The sequence below is a fragment of the Homo sapiens genome, chromosome 5 (assembly GCF_000001405.40).
Source record: "Homo sapiens chromosome 5, GRCh38.p14 Primary Assembly".
Classification (NCBI taxonomy): domain Eukaryota; kingdom Metazoa; phylum Chordata; class Mammalia; order Primates; family Hominidae; genus Homo; species Homo sapiens.
This window is the reverse complement of record NC_000005.10, coordinates 144,888,292-144,890,268: the sequence shown is the minus strand read 5'-3', so window position 1 is coordinate 144,890,268 and position 1,977 is coordinate 144,888,292.

The following is a 1,977-nucleotide window of genomic DNA, read 5'->3' as shown; positions in this document are numbered from 1 at the left end:
GCTCTCTTCTCTTACTTTCTCCCAAACATACAAAGCCTAACTCTCCATTCTGAGTCACCTGAAGCTTGGGGTGCAGTGACCCAAGCACCCCTGTGGCCACCACCACTATGATTGTGCTGAGTCAGACTTGAAGTCACCATAGTGCTGGGTGCCACACAAAGCCTGCTGTAACCACTCCCTGGCTACTGTCTAGGTTTGCTCAAGGCCCTAGGGCTCTATAATCAGCAGGTGGCAAAGCCAGCCAGGCCTTTGTCCTTCCCCTCAGGGCACTGAGGTCCCTCAGGCCCCAGATAGGTCCAGTAGTGCTGTCCAGGAGTCGGGGTAAGAGGTTACAAACCTTAGAAGTCTACCTGGTGTTCTATTATATTGGGGCTGATTTCACACTCAAGATACAAGCCACAGTCCTTCCCACTCTTCCCTCCCTGTTTCAAAAGCAGAAGACTATAACCCATAGCCCCCACCACCCCTGGCCATGAGTGCTGCCAGGTTTCCACAAACGCTCCCTTAAGGCCCAGAGTCTCTTATGTCAGTTTGTGGTGAATGTTGCCTGGCCTGGGACTCACCCTTCAGAGCAGTGGGCTCCCCTCTAGCCCAGGGCAGGCACAGAAATGTCATCCAAGAGTCAACCCTGGAATCAGGGATCCCTTAAGCGCACTTGGTGCTCTACCCACCTGTGGCGGTTTTGGTACCTAAGGTGCAAGACAAAGTCGCCTTTACTTTTGCCTCTGCTTTTGCCTCTTTACTTTTGCCCTGTAGCCACCAGAGCTGGTAATGTGCTGAGTCTCCCCTGAAGCCAGCAAGTCTCAGTGGCTCATCAAGGCCCTAGATGTAGTACCCAGGCATCATTGCTGGTTATTCAGGGTCCGCCGGCTCTTCAGTTAGCAGGTGATGAATGCTGCAGGACTGGGTCCTTTCCTTCAAGGCAGCCAGTTCTCTTCTGGCCCAGGATATGTCTAGAAATGTCACCTCAGAGCTAAGGCCTGGAATGGGGGCCTCAAGGCTCTGACCAGTGCCCTATCCTGCTGTGGCTCAGCTGGTATTCAAGGTGCAAGAAAAGTCCTTCCCACTCTTCTCTCTTTTTTCCTCAAGCAGAAGAGTCTCTTTTGGATCCACAAGTTATGCATCTTCGGGTTAGGGGAATGGTGATGCCAGTACTCCCTTGGCTGCCACAGATGATGTCTCAGTAGGTTGTGTGCCCCCAAGTCCACCGCCTCTGGACCTAGTTCAGTCCTAGGACTCGCCTATGAGTCTCAGCTATTATGGCGGAGACTGCCTTTCAAGTTTACTTGGAGACACAGAGTGGCTGCAGCTCTTGGTGGTGAGGTTTGCAGGCATTCAAGTGGAGACTGCTGGGATGGGAGATTCCCCTCTGGCTAGGGCTGGTTTAAATGCTTGCTCTGTGGAAAGGTGTCAGCTGAGAGTGGTTGGGTTTTCCTTTCTGCTTTAACAGGGCAGCATTGAGTTCGATGCCTCACAATTGCTGTGTTCTCCCTCCCCCAGCACCCAGAGATACATTCCACAACACACAGCTACTCTTGGGGTGGGGAGAGGTGGCATCTGCAATTCAGGACTGTTTTCTTTTTTTTTCTTTTTTTTCTTTTTTCTTTTTCTTTTTTTTTTTTTGAGATGGAGTCTTGCTCTGTCTCTCAGGCTGGAGTGCAGTGGCACAATCTCAGCTCACTGCAACTTCTCCCTCCTGGGTTCAAGAGATTTTCCTGTCTCAGCCTCCTGAGTAGCTGGGATTACAGTCATGTGCCAAAACACCTGGCTAATTTTGTATTTTTAGTAGAGATAGCGTTTCACCACGCTGGCCAGGCTGGTCTTGAACTCCTGACCTCAGGTAATCCGCTTGCCTCAGCCTCCCAAAGTGCTGGGATTACAAGCATGAGCCACCACTCCTGGCCAGGACTGTTTTTTCAGTCTCTTCAGTGCCTCTTTCAGCGATGTAAAGTTAATACTAGGTACTATGAGTGCTCA